At 44.3% G+C, this 18,155-nt stretch overlaps 1 protein-coding gene and 1 long non-coding RNA gene across 3 annotated transcripts in view; one reads left to right on the top strand and one right to left on the bottom strand.

The window, feature by feature from the left end:
• Positions 1–18,155, top strand: part of FRMD4A (FERM domain containing 4A) — a 687,219-nt gene that overhangs the window by 241,274 nt on the left and 427,790 nt on the right. Inside the window, exon 4 of one of the 2 annotated variants that reach the window (NR_134578.2) lies at positions 5,838–6,704. The exons of the other annotated variant lie outside the window; for it this stretch is intronic. The gene's annotated coding sequence lies outside the window, so the exon portion shown is untranslated. Of the gene's footprint in view, positions 1–5,837; positions 6,705–18,155 lie in introns of those variants that run through there. 2 annotated transcript variants of the gene reach the window in all.
• Positions 1,770–15,367, bottom strand: FRMD4A-AS3 (FRMD4A antisense RNA 3). The gene is made up of 3 exons (NR_120638.1): positions 14,825–15,367; positions 6,198–6,353; positions 1,770–2,136 (listed from the first exon to the last, which is right to left on the bottom strand). It is a non-coding gene; the product is annotated as an FRMD4A antisense RNA 3 (long non-coding RNA).

Below are 18,155 nucleotides of genomic sequence, written 5' to 3'. Positions count from 1 at the left end.
TTTTTTGTTTGTTTTTTTTTGTTTTTTTTTTTGCTTGAAAAGGTGAACTTTTTTCAATCCACAATAAATAAGGTGTTTCAGGGCCAAGCCCCTAATGAGATAATCACTGCAAAAGCTGCCACCAAAACCAGCATGTTTGAAAATTTACTGAAAACATAGAACGGGCTGGCCCTGTGCCCAGCATGCTGCGGGGAGGGCGGGGGAGAGGGCTTTGTTTTCCCCAGAGCAGGTGACAATGCAGACTTGGGCCAGCCCGTCCTCTCTGGGAACCGTGGTGATAAGTGGCTTCATGCACTGCGGGGCTGGTGGGCTGGGCCCCAGCGGGGGAAACAAGGAATAAGGCATGGGAAGTCAGCCAACGGTGGTCACGCTGGGCACTCTTCTCTCCCCACGGAAACTCAACCTCCAGAGAGAACCAGCGCCAGGGGCCTGTGGGAAAACAGGTACAGTCAGAAGGAGGCTTTGGTAACATTAGCTGGGAAAGTCAATGGACTTCAAGCGCTGGGAAACTCCATCGACTTTCCCAGCTGATTTTATCATCACTGGGCCAACTCCATGGGCTTCCTCCTCAATGAGGACTCATCTTCCAGGCTCTGCTCAGCAGCCCCCATCCCACCCCTGCGCTTATCTTCGCCCCTTCTGGGTAAGCTAGCATCAGGCTTATTATTACAGGCAGCTGGAGAACTGACAAGCACACAGCCTCCAGCCACACCCCTGGTCCCCGCCCCTGCTCCTCCACACCTTAGCTGTGTGAGCCCCGACCGTGACTGCCTCTTTATGGACCTCTAGTCCCTCCTGGGGAAAACAGTGTGAACCCAGGATTTGAGTGGAAGTGATTATTTTACTTTTTTTTTTTTTTTTTTTTGAGACAGAGTCTTGCTCTGTCCCCCAGGCTGGAGTGCAGTGGCGTGATCTTGGCTCGCGGCAAGCTCCGCCTCCTGGGTTCATGCAAGCTCCCAGGTTCATGGCATTCTCCTGCCTCAGCCTCCCAAGTACCTGGGACCACAGGCATGCGCCATCACGTCCGGCTAGTTTTTGCATTTTTTGGTAGAAATGGGGTTTTGCCGTGTAGGCCAGGCTTGTCTTGACCCCTTGACCTTAGGTGATCCACCAGCCTCAGCCTCCCAAAGTTCTAGGATTAGGGATTACAGGCTTGAGCCACTGTGCCTGGCCTGATTCGTCGTTCCTTTTTTTTTTTTTTTCTTTTAGGAAGAGTCTTGTTCTGTCACCCAGGCTGGAGCAGAGGCACAATCATGGCTCATTGCAGCTTCGGCCGCCCACGCTCAGGCAGTCCTCCCAACTTAGCCTCCTGAGTAGTTAGGACCACTGATGCACACCACCACAGCCCGCTAAATGTCGTTTTTTAAATAGAGACAGGGTTTCGTCATGTTGCCCAGGCTGGTCTCAGATCCCTGGAATCAAGCGTTCCTCTTACCTCAGCCTCCCAGAGTGCTGGGATTTCAGGCCTGTAATTCTCTTTTTCTGTTTTCTCAGCCACATCTCCTCAAAACAGCCCTATTTTCTTCCCCCTTTTTACAGATAAGGATATTAATATAAGAAAAAGGCAAATAAATTAGCATCCTACATTCCTAAGTAAAGTAGGCTCTGTTAGTTTCTGCTCTCCTTCCAGATACCAAGGTGACTTTATAAACATAAAGGAATCCAATTCCTCCTGTGAATGACAAACAACCCCCGATAATAATTTGCTTTTTAGTATCCAGCAGAAGCCGCTGCAACATGACCCTTCAAAAGCAATCCTCTCAGTCTCCTTTTGTTTCCCCTTCTGTTTTAATAATGGAGTGCACACGGCACTGTTGTTTAGATTAATTACTGATTGTAAGTTACTCTGAAATCCGTGCTGCCGACAGGCTGTTGAAATCATAGCCATCTTCTGAGTCGGGCTTTATGACATCACCTGAAATAGATGTTCACATTTCGTTCCTGTTTCTCACAAAGGTAAACTGACATCAATGTGTCAGGGCTGATGTTTGTTCCAGTTCTTCAACTCAGAAGGCTGGGTTTCCACTCTCATCCCACCAGGAGCCAGGGCACTAATGAAGTCATTTCACCTGCCAGTCTGAGCACCTCAGCCGCACACACTGGCTCTGTGGGTCTGAGATGAAAAGTGTGGAAGCGCTTGAGAAAAACAAAAACAATAATAATCATAGCTAATGTTTACTTAGTGCTTCTGTGCCAGAAAATATACAAAGTACTTTACCTGTGTATCTTCCTTCTCAACCCAATGCTTGGAATTAAATAGAATTAATATATATTTTATAATTCTATAAATATAATTTTATAATATATAAATATAATTTATATATTATAAAGTTAATATATAATTTATAATTTTATAGATATATAACACATATATTAATTAATTTATAATTTTATAAATATAATTTTTATATTATATAATTAATATATAATTTATAATCCTATAAGTGTATAAATATAATTTATGTAGTATATAATTAACATATAATTTATAATTCTATAAATCAGAGGCTGTGCCCACACACACCAAACCACATGCCCACCCCCCGCAACCAGGGTAGCCAGCTGGTTCCAATTTGCCCTGGCAGTTTCCAGTGTTCATACCCCAATTCCCAAGTCCCAGGAACCCTCTCTCAATGCTGGGCAAATCGGGATGTTTGGTTGTCAATACACACCCCCTACCACTAGCATAAGGCACCATATAATCCCAGAATTCCAGATGTGGGGAGAACCTCCAAGACATCCCCCTCAAAATCAGGAAGCTGAGCTCCAGAGCAGCAAAATCGTTTCTCCAACTCCCTGCTGTTAGTGGCAGAGCCAGAGCTCTGAATCTCCCAGAATCAGACAGAAGACCAAGAATGAGTCCGCTCAGTGGTGTCTGTTTATGTTATGGTGATCACTCATCATTCTAAAACAATAACAAAAAAAACCCATACATTATATAAGTAAGCTCTCATAAGAGATTGAGTCATAAAAGGTTTTCAAGATAGGCTTTCTTTGGGATGTTAAACCGTACCCTGGTTAAGGAGGGCAGTAAAAATGGCAATATAGTCATTGTTGGAAAGAGCCGTTACCTTTTGCACTGGAGATGAGAAGAGTTTATGATAAAATACTTTTTAATTAAACTTGATTATCCCCAATTCTGTTAGTGGGAAATAATCCTATGTTCCACTTACCAAGCATAAGATGCAAATTATAAAAAATAAGCTATGAAGATTTTTTTACATAATTTTTTTCTAACACTTCTTAGAACGCATGAAAATCCAATCAAATCTTTTATATCAACAAACTTGATTTCAACATTAGTGAACCTGAGGCTCAGAGCTGAATTCTCAAAATTAATTACATGTTCAGTCTACGGAAGGCATACAAGTGGGCTTGTACATTTGAAAGATTTTTTTTATTACCAGGGTAGAAACCTCAATAAGCTTTCTGTTTAGCCTTTAGTTAAACAGATAATTAAATTAATCAGCATAGCCCCTTCTCCATTCTATCTAATTAGTTTTACTTCTTTGGAGATAACTGGAAAAATACACTACTTTCATTTATTTTATATGTGTGTTACATGTGTACATTAACTAAAGAAATACATATCTAGGGTGGAAGTATATGCCTTTAGATAGGAAACAGTGCTCTGAAAAGACCTCGGCATAAAATATTTACTGGCGCTCGTATTAAAGTGGAAGACAGAGGATTTTGCAAAAAAATAAAAGGGAAAATTTGGCTGCTTTACTAATCAGAATGCCAGAACCCATATATGCCTGCCGCAGTCCAGAAAAAAGGTGCAGATTCTCAAAGCTGTGAAATACATTGATCATTTTTCCTGCTGAAATGAACAGTAATGCAGATCCCTCCAAGTTCATGAATTACATTTGGGACCAGGCAGATGGTCCAGCCCCAAAATCGTGACTCCACCAGTTTCACAGAGAGGAGGTTTCCACAGGACAGCGAGCGCAAATGAAGATGGGAAGATAGTTGCCATTTTGCTCTGTGTTCCACAGGCTGAGCTCTCTGGCGCATGGTGGCCTCTCACATGGGAGGCAGGCTCTGTCCCCAGCATCCCCATGGGCTTTGAGTTGAAAGGCAAGCCCTCTGAAAGCAAGCTTCTGAGACCCGTTCCGTCTCTTTCTGATGAGAATGCGTCCTCCCTGCAAAGTGTCAGAGCCTCATCCAGGGGCTGTGGAGTGACAGTACCAAAGCTGTGGATTGGGGAGAGAAGAACTGCTGAAAAGCTACTATTTTTGCAGTATTAACTGAAAGCCAACGTCCTGCTGGGTTCTTTACATCCATCGGCTCGTGGAAACCCTGCAACCACGTGAGGTGCGCATCTGCCGTGGCATTTTCAGATGACAAAGCTGGGACTTAAGGGAATAACCTGCGCAAGGCCACACAGTTAAGTAAACAGGAGTCAGGAGTCAGTTGTGCGTCTTCATCTCCAAACATCCCTAGACATAACCATGCGTCTACGATGGCACAAGAAAACTACTTTGCATGAAAGTTTCCAGAGCATGTGATGAACACTTCTTGATTTATAAACAGATGGAGGTGGGATTCCCTTTGTAAGAATTAGAAGAATGTATTGTGGTTTTCAGTAAGGAGGTGATTCAGAGCGTACCCGAGGGGTTTGTTTTTATTCAGGTGTGGCAAGGTCAACAGATCAGGGGATCATTACCATTGAAAAAATAGTTTGTTATTGACAATTCCCAAGAGTAGGAGACAAGCCACGCCACACAGGGCCATGCGGGGAAGCACCAGGGTCAGCCAGGAGGCAGAAGGAGTGAGGAAAAAGCACGGACAGACAGCTTTATGGTGGTTTTCAGGAGAAGGAGCAGTCGAGGCAGGGTAAGCAGTTGAGCAGGCTTAGGGTTGGTTCAAACGAGTTCAAATATGTCCCGTGGGCTCTGGGTTATATGGGGGGTCCTAGTTGTCTGGTAGCTGGCCCTGGGGCGATTTAGGGCAGAAGGGTTGTGTCCCATATGGCAGGACCCTGATAAAGGAGGCAGGTAGGAGTATGAACTCTGAACCGGTTGGTTTGCATATCAAAAGTGTGCTTATGAGCAAGTTGCTTGGGATCTCTAGGAATTAGCTAACTCCAGGAAAGGACATCTCTCCTCCAGTCTGTAAGACCTGAGATGTCAAAGCATCACATAACATAGAAAATTTAAAATATACTTAGTACAGGAGGGTATATATTAATTAAAAACCCCAGCCGGGTGCAGTGGCTCACGCCTGTAATCCCAGCACTTTGGGGGGCCAAGGCAGGCGGATCACTTGAGGTCAGGAGTTCAAGACCAGCCTGACCAACATGGTGAAACCCCGTCTCTACTAAAAATACAAAAATTAGCCAGGCATGGTGGCGCATGCCTGTAATCCCAGCTACTCAGGAGGCTGAGGGAAGAGAATCACTTGAACCCAGGAGGCGGAGGTTGCAGTGAGCCAAGATCATGCCACTGCACTCCAGCCCGGGCAACAGATCAAGACTCTGTCTAGAGGAAAAGTTAAAAAAGCCCTCTGTGCATGGGCCTTTTTACTTTCCCCCATGATGCCACAAGCAGCAGTCAGGGCTGTGAGTGCTTTACTGGATGATTTCACCATTTTTGGAGCACATTACATGTGGACCATTTACAAGTCTAAAAGGGCTAAAACACGTGCCCGTTTACTATTTTCCTCTTGGTATAACCTCCCATAAATGAGTCTTTATTCACTCCAGGGCTTGAATCATGGCATTCTTTCTTTAGAAATATGATTATCTGTTCCTTTAACAACCAAAAAGTTACAGTTGTGCGAAGGTGGGGAGAAGGTGTCTACCCGTTATTGATGTCACTCTATGCTTTTTACAGGATGATGCTCATTCCAAGATTTTCTGTTTTATTTCTGTCTTTTGCAATCGTTGGCCTGCTTTGCTGCCATAAATGAGGGAATTGTGGCTAAGAGAGCAATCTGCCGGAAGCATCTCCTCATCCATCGGTGGACACTAACCACAGCTATAACCGGGACAACTAGAGACACTGTCCAAGTCCTCTGTCAAATTCACAACTTAGCTTGCCCTTAGGTGTGAATACAGACTGACCCCAGGGCCGGAGGGGCTGCTGTTGTGAGCCTTTCCTGCTGGAGGGGCCTAAGGACTCAGTTCCCTTTATCTAAGACAAAACCGAATGGAGACAGTAAGAGCCCATCACACTCCACCCTCCCTCCCTCACCTTCTTGCAGAGCTGGTAGAGTGTAGTGGCCAAGAGCAGGTCCTCTGCGGTGTCACAATTGGAGACCTCTTCTGAATCCATCCCTCACCAACTCAGTGACCAGAGCTGGTTACCCAACCTCTCAGTGCTTCAGGTTTGGTTTGATGTTTTCAATCTCTAGAATGCAACAGTCGTAGAGTTGGTGAGAAGATTATGCAGCTGTGCTGAGGAAAGAGTAAGAGCTCAAACATGTCAGCTGTCATTCAAATGTCACTACAATGGCCTTTTTTCAAGTGTGATCCACTTGCACCAAAATTACCTGAGGTGCTTGTGACAAGGATCTTACAGATTCAGTCTCCACGGAAGGTTCCAGAAGTGTTTTAGTGATCGAGGCAGGGGCTCTACAGTCAGACAGACCCAACTTCAAATCTTACCTTGCACCTTAGTTAGATCTGCGTGATGTGCAACAAGTTAATGCATTTAGCTTCTTGGAGTCTTTGTTTCAATAAATTAAGACATTAATATCTATCTTGTTTGGCAAATATGTATCAGTGTTTGCTATGTATAAGACACTCTGCTAGGTGCTGGGAACAAAATAGTGAACATTCTTGTAAAATCTATTTGCTCAGATCTTTGTCAGACCTTTGGAGGGCACTGCAGATCAGTCACAGCCAAATCCATCCCTGTTAATGGCAACCTATCATGGTCATGGGTAGCTCCAAAAATGCCATGGGAGGGATGACTGCAGACTCCGCGTTATGGGCTACAAAGCCATTCTCTTTACATTTTAGCAGTTCCCATGAAAACCAGTCACCAACTGAAATGCACCTGAGTTTCAGGTGCCTTTTCGTCACTCAACTTCAGTGCTGGGGCCTCAGCTCCACCTCACTGCAGCTTGGATTGCAATGAAATGCAGAACTATGGGCGACTGGTTATACCACCCAGCCTAACAGATACCACAGCATGGAGGAAAGAACACTAATTCATTTCCAGGATCCTCAATGTCTACCCCTCATCCCCTAACCTTCAAGTCTGTAGGACGTCTAGCTACTCCTAGGAAAGTGAGGTTAAGTTCCATCAACCTACTTAAGTAAGTTGATATCTAGTTTGGTAGTAGTTCTATCTGAAATTACTTATGTTGGTTTTCAACAGAGATTCCACATCTTTTGCAGAATCCAAGCCTGGGCTATTAATAAAAATATCTTAGATTGTGTTTGTATTTTTTTTTTATCTGGAGTCTCGCTCTGTTGCCCAGGCTGGAGTGCAGTGGTGCAATCTCGGCTCACTGCAACCTCTGCCTCCCAGGTTCAAGCAATTCTCCTGCCTCAGCCTCCCAAGTAGCTGGGAGTTCAGGCACGTGCCACCATGCCCAGCTAATTTCTTGTATTTTTAGTAGAGATGGGGTTTCACCATGTTAGCCAGAATGGTCTCGATCTCTGACCTCGTGATCCACCTGCCTCAGCCTCCCAAAGTGCTGGGATTACAGGCGTGAGCCACTGTGCCCAACCTGTATTTGTATTTTTGACCATTGATAGAAAATCTTTAAGAAGTATGGAGTGAATTAGGACAAATACAACCTAATAAAAGTGATGTGTTAAATAGTCTGGGGCAGTGTAGGCCTATGGTCTTTGGAGTCAATGACCTGCATTGGATGTCTGAATTTGCCACAGTAGGCTGGCTATGTCACCTTAAGCAAGTTGCCATCCTCTCTGAGCCTTGGTAGAGCGAGACTTCTTGCCTGCTAGGAGGGCAGCAGGGATCAAAACAAGAATGAATGTCTAGTGCTTGGCACAGAGCTTTGCATGATAAAAGACATTTTGTATATCATAGCTCTGGATTATTATGATTATTGGATGATGGCACTTTCATATTTTCCATGAGATTGAGCTTGTACTGAACCTTGACTTATTTTTATCTTCAATTGCTCCTATGAGGTATGCAGGACTGGTGTGATTTTTAGATGAGAAGTTAAGTTCCTTGCTGGGGCAGACATGGTTCCCACTCAATTCTGCCACTGCACAGGAGTTCTCCTTCACAGAATCTCAGTGGGCAGTGGGTTTGTTGTCTGTTCTTCCATCTGAGCTGTTCTCCTATCCTGCTAGATGCTTGCAAGACCCCCAGTGGTTGCAGGCACCCAGACCCTGAAGGAGGTACATTGGCTTTAATGCAGCTGTCTAATGTGATAAGCTGACACCTGTCTTGTGGTCTAATTGTGTTGTTATGGGTCCTTTTGCCTTCATTTCACGCAAGTAGAGAAGGAAGTCAGTATCAGAAACGCCACTCAGTACAGACCAAAACTTGACTACCGTGGTTTTATAAGTCATGGAGAGTTTATTAAACTCTACCAAATTGATAGCTAGAAAGGACTCTGACTAGGAGAAGCCCATAAACTTAATGGTACTTACTAATTTATGGGCTATTATTACAACCTGAGTAATCTTTATATAAAAGCAGTAAAGAGCTGTGATTTAGTTAGGACAGTGCTTACTGTCTCCACTTACAGAGATGACGGTTCCATCAACGTCTGAGCCACATAGGCCCCCAGCAGAGTGCTCCCCACTGCAAAACAGAGTGCCTTTCTTTTCTTGAAGCCTGTCTTCTACTTGACGAATTTATCTCCTGGAGATCAGTTCCTTATTTTGACAATCCAAGCCTGGCAATGGGGCAGGAAGACAGCACCATGAGGTATAGAGATGCCAACTGGACACTGATCACCTTGGGCTCTTTCCTCAATGCATCCTTTTGCTGACCCTAAATTCAAGCTGAATATCCTCCCTCGCAGTCTTCAGTTTCCTCATCTGCAAAATGGTAGGGCTGGCTTAGTGGCTTCCAAGATCGCTTCTGTGATTGTAGCTGTGTCCAGGATCCAAAAGGCCATCTGATGCAGCAAACCACTGGCAAACAGTCCCACCCCAGAAGAGGCTCAATCATCTTGGCTGGAGCACTCACATGGCCTGAGGATAGAACTTGTCCTGCTTGTCAAATCATTCCTCCCCATGAATTGGATGAGAAAGAGTCTGAGGTGCTGGGGGGGTTCTCATTATGGCAGGTGGGGGCTCCCTTCCTACATTAACCCCTTGTTCAGGAGCCAGTTCCAATGTCATAGGAGGCAAAACAACATGGGAGAAGAAGCGGGGATATAGAACATCATAAAGACCTTCAGGTGGCACATAACACAAAAATGAAGAGGGGCAGGGAATGGGCTGTTTGGAAATACTTCTCCAGAGACACTCCAGCTGCAGGGTAGGGGGCAGGCTAGAGTGGGGGCCTTTGTGGGTGACAAGCCCAGTAGCTGGGGCATCTTTGTGGCTTCATGTGCTGCCAGGGGCTGGCCCACTAGCCATTGCTGCAGGCACCTCTCCTTTTGCAGACCCAGGCAGGGCTGGCCCAGACAGCATTTTACATTCAATTCCTGCTTAAAGCAGGGAGGTCCAGGCAGGAGGTCCAAGGGGAGGTTTTGGCCTTTTCCTCCTAACTGCAGCTGCTCATGTTATGCTTGGTGTTGGGCGCAATGGACACAGGGAGTGATTTCATTGTATAGACTCACCCTCCCCACCCCTTGCCAAGTGGATAGAAACTCCACATCCTTGACCACAGACCCTCACTGTGTTTCTGGGTACACATTCAATATGTCTATCTGCCCCATCCCTGGCCCACCTTCCCATCTAATTCCTCAGCATAATCAGCAGCAAATGTGAAAAAGCAAGAACACCCAGTTCTGAGTCTCAGCCTGGTCCCAGGCAGCGGATTACAAGCACTTAAACTGCTCAGCGCTGTTGTCACACAGTCTTACTAAGTGTCGTGGGTGTTTGACGTACCAAGGGACACACAGAATCACACCAACACATCCCACTACTCTCTAGCCATGGTAAATGTGTTGCCTAAAAGCATTGCAGGTTTCACCCTTTTTATTAAACACCATTATTCCAGGGGCTTGATTATTAGTACATTGGTGTTGGATGTCAAAAAGATGAAATCAGGAACCATAATTTTAATTAATGAAAATATTAGAAAACACTTCGGTCATTTTTGTTTGATTGACTTTTCTTTCACTTTTGAGATGGAAAGGCTGAGTTTCCAGGCTTTGGTTATCTCTGAGTGCCCAGGACACCAGGAGGTCTGGGCTTTTCCTTCTATGGACCAAGGGCAGCAGACAGGAGGAGAGGGTGCTGGAGCCCAGGCTCCTTAACATGGTAAAGAGGCTAAGAGCAGATCCCTGGCAGGGGTTCAAATCCCAGTTTGGCCATTTTCCACCTCCGTATGTAAACTCCCCACAGCTCACCTTCCCCATCCACAACTGGAGGTAACAGCAGCACCTCATGAGGTTGATGTGAGGATTTAACATGCAGTGCCCACAAAAGCACCTACAGCAGGAGCTAGTACTATGGGCCCAACAGATGCAAGGTCTATTTCTGTTTCAAAAGCAAAAGAGCACTTAGAGATGGCCAAACCCTGGACACTCAGTCCTTTCCTCTGACTATCTCAAGCTCTGAGGGAAACCCTTCAAGACCTAGGGTTAGTCCTGTTTCCCTTTTCCAGTGGAGAATTCGCAGGACACCTCCAGAATATGGAGCCTTAACACAAGCATCACACAGCCGGAAGACACTAAGGCAGATGTACCAGTCTCCACAGAAAGGGACGGTGCCACAAGGCAGCCCAGGGCAGGGAGAGGTTGACATAGTAGAAGGGGAAACACATGGGCTTGGAGCCAGGAGACCTGAGTTTGAACTTTGCCATTTCTGGACTTCAGGAGATTCACATAACTTCTTCAAGCTTCGTTTTTTTCATCCATCCTATAATGGTCATACCCCCCACCATGACCTAAACACATAAAATTGTTGTGAGGCTCACATGAGAAAACAGATGTCAAATACTATAAAATGAAACACATCCAGGAGAGCATCTCACACGTAGTAGGTGCTCAGTAACTTACTGTTGAGAGAGACAGGTTCCATGCTGGCAGGTCACCTGAGCCACTGCCTGTGTCTTCTGGAGGGCGGGAAGAAGCTTCCCTTTAACCTGGATTTATGTAGATTGGTCTCAACTAAATGAAAGACAAATGTTAGATTTGACACAAGTCGGAAGATTTCCCAATAGCCTTGAGCCTGTTGCCAGGAGAGTGTCAATGTGGGTTCTACCCCATTTGGTTGGTTTGGAGATAATCTTGCCTGAAGACAAAGGACACAGCTTAATGACCCTCCAGGTTCTTCTCCTACTTGGAATTCCAAAAGAATGGCCATGAGAATGTTGCAATCATGGCTGGGTTCATTCATGTTCCAGCTAAGCAGACAGTAGAAGTTGACCCTCTGGCCAGTGGTTTGTATTTATTACGATTATTCATTCATCAAAGTGGTCCCTTGCAATGAGATGCTGTCTGCCTCAGAAATCTAATAACAGGGTCATTAATTATTGAAGCCAGGGTCATCATCAGGTGAATTGAAGCTGAAATTGTCCACCATCATGTAATAGTTTTCACAATTGAGTTTACCTTATAAAACCTTTCTCATCTTCTTCTTTCCTCACCTATGCCATCCTCACAGGTGGGTGAGTCCACATGAGCACATGCTTGCCATGTAACACACATATCTCCTAGTAACAAGCAATTGGAATATTCTAGATGGATGTTAAGCCTATATGAGAATGGGACTATTTCTCAGTATTTCAGAAGATGCAATTTAGCATCTACAATTCAATTATATAATCCTCCAAGCATTAGACATCAAGCCACAATTCAAACAGATTTCCTTCTAAAACTTAATGCATTCATCAGAACTTAAGGGGAGATTGCTCCAATGAATCACTTCTCACAGATGCAACATCAAGCTGTCAGGCTTCCATGGGCCTCTCAGCATTGACACGAGTGACCTCTTAATAGCAGGGCAAGGAAAACGCTCACCACTCAAATGGAAGGGGGTGCAGAAATGGACATTTTTGCCAATACTAATAATAATGACCGTAAAGAGTTATGGCACAGTTTCAGACTTTGCACAGCACACTTTAAGTCTCATAACAACCCTAAGAGATCAGTGAGGTAGGCATTATTGTTATGATTATTAGTATTCTCACTTGATAGATGAGAAAACCAAAGCTCCAAGAAGTCAGGCTTTTGGCAAAGTTTTCACAGGCATCGAGTGACAAATGAAGAAACTGAATTTCCACTGGCCAAGTCCAAATCTTACTTCCCAGACAGTGAGAACAGCATTTATAGAACCAGAAGTTTGAGGACCAAAATATAATTCTTATAATGCATATTTTTTGTCTTGGGGATCATCCTTGGTTGCAAGTAGCATCTTTAGTCCCTTGCAGTGCCTACCCAGGTGCTGTCACACAATCTGGGATTTCTGGTGTCTCCTCACTCCTCTAGGTGTTTGGGTGACACCAGGCTGACCCTGATGGAAAACGCAAAGTCCTCCTTGGCCCAGGACCTCTGTGAGAGGCTCAAAGGGCAAAACCCCCAAGAGCTATCTTCTCTGTAAGCCTCCAGACTCTTCCCTCTCCCTTGAGAACCCTCCAGCTTGGACACCTCCCCTCTTCACCTCTGTATCTCTTCCTTACTCATAATCTCCCCTCCAACTCCCTGACTTGTGTGCTTATTGAGGACAAGGACCACATCTCATGTAGCTTTGTATTCTGACACAAGTAGTTGATTTCAATGGCCAGGGAATATCTGTGGAATGAATGAATGAGGAAAGTAATCAAGTAATGAATTATTGGGGAGAGATACAGACAAGTGTAGAAAAAGGGAAATGCCTGGATGTTTTTCCACGTTGACCCTTTCCCCCACCCCAAAGTTCATAGTAATGCATCTAACAATGATCCACATTTTTTTTTTTTTGAGACGGAGTCTCGCTCTGTCGCCCAGGCTGGAGTGCAGTGGCGTGATCTCAGCTCACTGCAAGCTCTGCCTCCCGGGTTCACGCGGTTCTCCTGCCTCAGCCTCCCGAGTAGCTGGGACTACAGGCTCCCACCACCACACCCAGCTAATTTTTTGTATTTTTAGTAGAGACAGGGTCTCACTGTGTTAGCCAGGATGGTCTCGATCTCCTGACCTCATGATCCACCTGCCTCGGCCCCCCAAAGTGCTGGGATTACATGCATGAGCCACTACACCTGGCCATGATCCACATTTTAATGTGGATCTGGCTTCATTACATGATGGCTTTAACCCAGCCCTGGAAATGACAAAGTAAACCCAAGCACATTTTCATCTTTCACCATGCTGGAAAAATCCCAAGTCTTTGGTAAGCTCGCAGGTAACATGGGAAAGGCAGGTGGGGATCCATGCACAGGTCTTCATGACATAGCTGTGGATGGCTGGGTTAGACACACACTGGGCAAATGAACAGGTGAAGGGGTGCATAGTGAGCCAGCCTTGTAGTAATGAAACCCGGTTATTCAGAGGCCCAGGTGAGCAGCGGAAATAAAACAGAGTTGCCATCAACTAAGGTCAGGTTCTTCTGGTCAATGTTCCATCCTCCTGTGGTTCAAAATAGATGCTACATTACCATGAACATGAGAGTTAGGCCAAGTTCTGTCCAACATGCAGACATTAGGAAAAAGCAAGCACAGACACAATCACACAATCTCTTCCTGTAACTGGGGGAAGCTTCTCTCTCCGGCTTTATGACAATGCAGAAATATCATCAGATGTGGTTTGTTGATTCCTAGATTAATGGTTTATATATATGTGTGTGTGTGTGCATATACATATGTGTGTGTATAAATATAAAATATACACACACACTATATGTATACACACATACTATACAGCATATGGATATAAAGGTATACACATAATACAGAAATTATACCCACACATGCTTATATTTGCCTATATTTAAGAAATTTGCATCATGCACAGCCAGTGAAACTTTACGCTTTCATATCTAAGCCATTTCAGCTCAGGTTAGGCTAAAGAATACTTTTTCACTGTTGGTTTTGAGAAGCAACATGATATGTTGGAAGGAGCAACGACAGAAAGAGATAGGCACAGGTTCCAGTTCTGTCCCTGTTCCTAGTGCCCAGGAAGGCTACGTAATCTCTATAGACCTTGGTCTCCTGATTTGGAAAATAGAAATAATAAACCACACACACATCATGTTGTTCTAACAGTTAAACATGGTTGTGGAGGTCAAGCATTTAACATGTGTCTGGATCCATTAGGTGTTAAGAAAATAATATGTCCTCCCCTTTCCTCTTCTCAATATAGTAAAATAATCAGATGAGCAGCATTTCACCAGGACATAAAGTGCTTACAACTGGAAGGAAAAACCATTTTTCAAGGTGATGTAGACCATTTATTGTTTTTATGTAAATGTGATTGTAACTTAAAACAAGCTGTATCTAGTGACCAGTGGTGACCTTACAGTGTCTTTTCTTGGCAGTGCTACGTTAGCACTGGAAACTGGTTCAAGTTACCATAGTTTGCTTGCTTTTTTAATTCATAAGGACATCTTTCTTTGATTCTACTCTATGAAACATAGACTGTCAACTAATTCTGGGTAATCTCTTCTCCCTACCTGCAGGATTTTCTGTATTACAAGCTCTGGTAGTATCTAGATTAAACCATCTAAGAGTAAATTCCTGGAAGTCAAGGTCAGAGAGCTTTTCTTACACAGCCTCCCATCACCCAATCCACCATGGCTTACCAGGGTTATCCTCTTAAAATTCCCTCCTGTCCTGTATGAGTCTCCTCAGTGGAGTCCGTCTCCATTCCAGCTGTGTGTAGCCATAAGTTTGACAAATCAACGAGTTCCTGGACACCTTCCAGAATCTGTGGAATTTGAGTCCGGCAGCGACTCAAAAATGGTAAGGGGGAGGAGCTAGTTTTACAGCCAAACATGCGTGCAGATTAAATCAGTGCCCTGCCAGATGAAATGCTTGCCCTTCTACGTGTTCCTGAGGCGTGACCCTCTGAAAGCATGAATCCCCATGGGCATTGCGCCAGGACACAGGAATCCTGCTGCTCAGCACAGCAGTTCATAGCATTCACAGCGTCTGCCATGTCGTTTCAACTGTTGATTCTGATTGCTGTTGCTTTTATCGTCTCGGCATATCCAACACTGCAGCTATGAAATAGCTGATAATTCATCTCGTTGAAGACCCAGGTCTTAAACATTTGCACCATCTGAATCTGACCCTCAGGTCTGGACAAGTAGAGGCCTGTAGCATGGAACCTGGGTCGTGCCGAGTGGGCACAACCTTGGAGCATACATCCCCCTCCCCCATCCACTGCTTCATTATTTGCCGTCTCCATGGAAACCCCATTCTGTACTGTCAGAACTCACCTTGGCCACCTTTGTACTTACCACCTAAGCACTTTCTTGGTGCTATGGTACTACATATGAAACAAAAAAAATTTTTTTTGAGACTATCTTGCTCTGTCATCCAGGCTGGAGTGCAGGGGCACGATCTCAGCTCTGTTCAGCCTCTGCCTCCAGGTTTCAAGCAATTCTCCTGCCTCAGCCTCCCGAGTAGCTGGGATTACAGGCACACACCACCATGCCTGGCTAAATTTTGTATTTTAGTAGAACCAGAGTTTCACTATGTTGCCCAGTCTAGTCTTGAACTCCTGCCCTCAAGTGATCCTCCCACCTCAGCCTTCCAAAGTGCTGGGATTACAGACATGAGCCACCGCCCTATGCAAAATTTAAAAGGAACTTTTGGTGACCCAATTTATACAGGGCAACCTCCAGTCTTTTAACACCTAAGTTATTAGGGATTTCATCTTGACCAGTGGGTAGGTCACAACAGGATCCCGGTGGTGGTGAAAAACCCATGAACACGACACATTCATACCCCTGGACTTCCCCTCACTCCGTTCGCTTCTTCTACAGCAGCCCTTGGACAAGCAAAGACAATGCCAACAACATCAGCCATCATCCCTGAGATCTTTCCCATCATGGACACCAGCCAAGTAATAAGTGACCCCAGCCCCCAGTGTTATTTTGCTTTGGGAGGGTATATCCAGGGTCCTTGGTGTCTAGATTTATCCACACAACCACAAAACCAACCACACAAAGACTGATGGGCAGATTAAGTCAATCACCTAGGAACTCAAGGAATGGGACATTTCTTGCAGCAACTCAATGGATCTAATTCTTCATGACCTAGAACACCCTCCCTTCCCACCAAAGAAGCTTCCAGCTTCATCCCATCTGTCACCTTGTAGCCCTCCCTTCAGCTCCATTAACAAGCCAGCATCCAACTCGCCCTCACTCCCACTACTGCCCCCAGCCTACTAAAGGGACTACAAGAAATACACCAATTATTAAGAGCCCCAGGGAGGGCATATGAATAAAAGACACCACCTGTCACCAACCTCTGAGCTGAGAGATGGAGGTACCCTGGGTTTCCTGGACAGCTGGTAAGGGTGCAGGTTACAAGGGGTTCTCGTAGTGTATGTCTTGTTTTTGTTTCTTTTCTCTATTTCTAAAGCTATTATTTTTTTATCCCTTCTTTTTGGCTCTTTCTCTCTTTCCTTTCATATGAATTATAAACATATGTATATATTTCTCTGATAATCAGTATGCCTGGCTATACTTGACCAAGACTTTTGTTAAAGAAACAAACTTTATATCTGGGAAGTGCAGGTCTGGGGACTGAAAGGAAAGCTATTTTCCGGAAGCACGTTTTATTGCTTTTATGACTCAAATATCTCCATCTCACCTCATTTTCCTTTAAAGCTAAATATGTAGCAAATGGAGATGTACTGATATGGAATCTCAGTGGGAAATGATTGCAGACAAAAAGCTTATTAGCGTGGTTTCTTCTCTTCTAAAAAAACCCTCCCCTTTCCCAAAATAACTGATAAATGGTCCTTTGTGGAGATGGTTGTGATGCAGCTTCAACAGTTATGAAAACCCTGCTTTACATCTTGCTGGAAATGAGAGCATGCATCACAGTTCTGGATGGCAAATTTGGTGGCTTGCTTCTTGTGGTAACTTAACTGAGGCTCAGAAAGCGTTAGGCTTTAGAAGACAAGTTGACTCCAACTCACAGAATTTTAATCTTATAATATTTTCGACTTTTAATTTTCCAAATAATGTTTATAAAGTAGAAGGACGGAGGATATGTGAATCCAACTCTGTTCCCAAAATGGTATAGCCACGGTTGTTATTTTTGGCTTTTTCTTCTTAATATCTTCACTTGGCTTTTTGAGGATATTATCTAGAGAAGTAAGAACTTCTGACTTCTCAAGGCCCCATTTGTGCCTGAACTCAGCCGAGCATCTCCGTGACCCTAAATTGCCTCGTGTCTTCATATCCATTTAGCCATAAAACTCTCGTTGTTCAGCTGATCTCAACTAGATATCCAGAAGAAAGCAGTCTTATTAAACATTCATCATAAAGAATGAATGGTCAATTGACTTGGGCCTTCCCAAGAGAATTTTTACTTTAAGAAGGAAGTTGTTAACATAAATCAATGTCTAATAGGTGGAATTTTAGGTATCAATATCAACATTTATTGAAGGCTTATTAAATGTTGGTCACAGTCCTCTGTGCTTTGTAGTAAAGTCACAGAATTAAGAGAAGCAGCCTTGCAACACGGGGAAGGAAACCCTTCCTACCACCTCCTTCTTTCACCCTTTCAGCTGCAGGCTCCTACTTCATCCAAGGATCCACCTAAGAGTCCACCCTCACCCAGTGTTCTCATCAAGTCTAATTCTTCTACATTCAACACTTACTTGGAGAAGATCCCACTAAGTGCGTATCTTTCTGCACACATACCTGGTCCTCTCTGCCCCATCAGCACCCATATCCTAAGCCACCAAGAACACCCAAGCCCAGTCCACTTACCTCCTAAAAACTGAGTTTAAGGACAGTAATAATTTGTATGTTAACTTCTTTTTCCGTCCCATCTCCACCTCTTTATCTCCTAATTTAAAAATATTTTCTAATCTAAAGTAGGTCTTTTTTTCTTCCTAAATTGTTTCTTTATATAAAATGTTTTCGGATGATGGAAAATTACTGAGTCATT

This window comes from Homo sapiens, chromosome 10, assembly GCF_000001405.40.
Source record: "Homo sapiens chromosome 10, GRCh38.p14 Primary Assembly".
Lineage (NCBI taxonomy): Eukaryota > Metazoa > Chordata > Mammalia > Primates > Hominidae > Homo > Homo sapiens.
The sequence above is the reverse complement of the archived record's forward strand: the minus strand, read 5'-3'. Positions and strand labels throughout refer to the sequence as shown.